This window comes from Homo sapiens, chromosome 3, assembly GCF_000001405.40.
Source record: "Homo sapiens chromosome 3, GRCh38.p14 Primary Assembly".
Lineage (NCBI taxonomy): Eukaryota > Metazoa > Chordata > Mammalia > Primates > Hominidae > Homo > Homo sapiens.
The window spans coordinates 96,763,043-96,766,081 of record NC_000003.12 but is presented as its reverse complement, the minus strand read 5'-3'; positions in this window follow the sequence as shown (position 1 = coordinate 96,766,081).

Genomic DNA, 3,039 nt, shown 5'->3' with positions numbered 1-3,039 from the left:
TGTAAGCATGGTTTTCTTTAATTTTTTAACTTAATTTTATTAGCTGTTTTGAAATTTTGTCACCTAACTTTATCTTTCTTCCTTTCTCAGGCAGTTTGTTTTGCCTGTGTTTTTCCTGTATATGAGCCACATGCTTGTCTATGTCTTTTCTTATTTCATAACAAATTTGCTAAAACATGAACATTTTAGATAATATATTTTAGCAGCTCCAGTTACTGATTCCCCTACTTCATGGCTTTTTTTCTAGTAACTTGGCTGCAATATTCATTGAAGTATTTTTTTGTTCAGTGTGAAATTTCTGATATTACTTATCATAGAGTCCCATCCTTGAGTATGTAGCAAGTCACACTGAGATGACAGTGGTTTTAGCAGTGCTCTCTTTGTTCCTTTCTCTGATCTCTCTGTTAAGCTGTCTGCCTCAGTTGGTATTCACTGTTAGGTGAATTAATTGGTTTTGATTGATTTATCATTTTCAACAATGTCCTGGTGCATATAATTTTCTGAAGTGTGATCCAATTAAATATGGGACACTTTATTGGGGGTAGTTCTGAACACAAAATTTTGGGGTTTGTTTTGACATCGGGAGAAATCTCTGATTCTTTCTTAAAACGTAGCTGGCCTACAGTATAGCTTGTTGCTCTCACGGAGCTAGTAGCCTCTTCTTTATTGGTTACTACCACAATATTCTTTGATTTCTACAGTGCCATTAGGCTTGAATTTCCCCCACAGTTTGTTCCAAATAAAGTCAGTTCCCTTGGGGAGACATTTAAGCTCCCATTATTATGGTTAGCCTTTCTCAGACCGCAACCTTAATACCACCTTCTTTGATCCAGCTGGAGGGGGAGACCCTATCCTGTACCAACACCTATTTTGATTCTTCGGTCACCCCGAAGTCTATATCCTCATCCTACTGGGCTTCGGGATAATTTCCCACATCGTAACATACATGCCACTGCTCTGGAGCTTTGGACAGAGGCAGTGGCTCACTTCTTAAAGAGTGATTTTTAAGACATACTATAAATCAAAAGAGTGGAATATTGACATATATATATAGACAAAGATCAATGGAGCAAAATATAGAGAACAGAAATAGACTCATAACCACATGGTCAATTGAATTTTGATAAAGGTATCAAGGTAAATTAATGAGAAAAGATAGCTTTGTTCTTTTCAAAAATAATAGTGCTGAACAATGGGAGAATACTTATATGAAAATAAATAAACCTTGTCCTTTATATATAAAAATTAACTCAAAAGGTTATAATTGTAAAAATAAAATCTAAATCTATAAAACTTCTAGATATCATAAAGATTAGATGTCTGGGGACACCATAATGATTTTAAAAGTTAAATATTTTTATTGTGGGCACAACAAGCAATAGTATAAAAGAGAAAAAAACTGATAAGTTGGATATCATTACAAAACTCACTTATGAAGTGATGTCCCTGAAATAAATTTGAAATGAAAATTAGAAACAAGTTGATATTGATCATTGTATTAGTTTGTTCTCACACTGCTAATAAAGACACCTCCGTGACTGGGTAATTTATGAAGGAAATAAGTTTAATTGACTCACAGTTCTGCATGGCTGGGGAAGCCTCGGGAAACTTACAATCATGGAAGAAGGGGAAGCAAACACGTCCTTCTTCACATGGTGGCTGTAAGGAGAAGTGCTGAGCAAAGGGGAGAAAGCTTCTTATAAAACCATCAGATCTCATGAGAACAGATTCACTATCGTAAGAACAGCATGGGGGTAAACATCCCATGATTCAGTTACCTCTCACTGGGTCCCTCCCATGACACATGGGGATTATGGGAACTACAATTCCAGATGAGATTTGTGGGGACACAGCCAAACTGTATCATTCTAACCCTGGGCCCTCTCAAACCTCACGTCGTCACATTTGAAAACACAATCATGCCTTTCCAATAGTCCCTCAAAGTCTTAGCTCATTCCAGCATTAACCCAAAAGTCTTAAGTCCAAAGTCTCACCTGAGGCAAGGCAAGTCCCTTCCGTCTACGAGCCTGTAAAATCAACAGCAAGTTAGTTACTTTCTAGATACAATGGTGGTACAGACATTGGGTAAATACAGCTATTCCAAATGGGAGAAATTGGCCAAAACAAAGGGGTTACAGGCCCCATGCTAGTCTGAAATCCAGTAGGGCAGTCATTAAAACTTAAAGTTCTAAAATGATCTCCTTTGACTCCATGTCTCACATCCAAGTAATGCTGATACAAGAGGTAGGCTCCCATGGCCTTGGGTAGCTCCAGTCCTGTGGCTCTGCAGGGTACAGCAGAACCTCTACAGAGGTACAGCTCCCCTCCCACTGCTTTCATTGGCTCACGTTGAGTGTCTGCAACTTTTCAAGGCTCGTGCTGCAAGCTGTTGGTGGATCTACCATTCTGGGGTCTGGAGGATGGTGGCCCTCTTCTCACAGCTACACTAGTAGTGCCCTAGTGGGGAGTCTGTGTGGGGGTTCCAACCCCACATTTCCCTTCTGCACTCCTCTAGCAGCAGCTCTCCATGAGGGCTCAACCCCATAGCAAACTTCTGCCTGGACAGTCAGGCATTTCCATACTCCTCTGAAATGTAGGTGGAGTTTTTCCAACCTCAATTATTGACTTCTGTGTATTCACAGGCTCAACACCACATGGAAGATGCCAAGGCTTGGGGCTTGCACCTTCTGAGGCAATGGCCTGAGCTGTACCTTGGCCCCTTTTAGCTATGGCTAGAGCTAAAACAATTGGGACTCAGGTCACTAGGTCTCAAGGTTGTACAGAACAGGAGGGCCTGGGGCATGGTCCGAGAAACCATTTTTCCTGGCCTGTGATAGGAAGGGCTGCCATGAAGTTCTCTGACATGTCCTAGAGACATTTTCCCCATTGTCTTGGTGATTAACATTTGGCTCCTCATTACTTATGCAAATTTCTACAGCCAGAAAATGTGTTTTTCTTTTCTACTGCATTGTCACGCTGCAAATTTGCCAAACTTTTTATGCTCTGTCACCTCTTGAATGATTTATTACTTAGAAATTT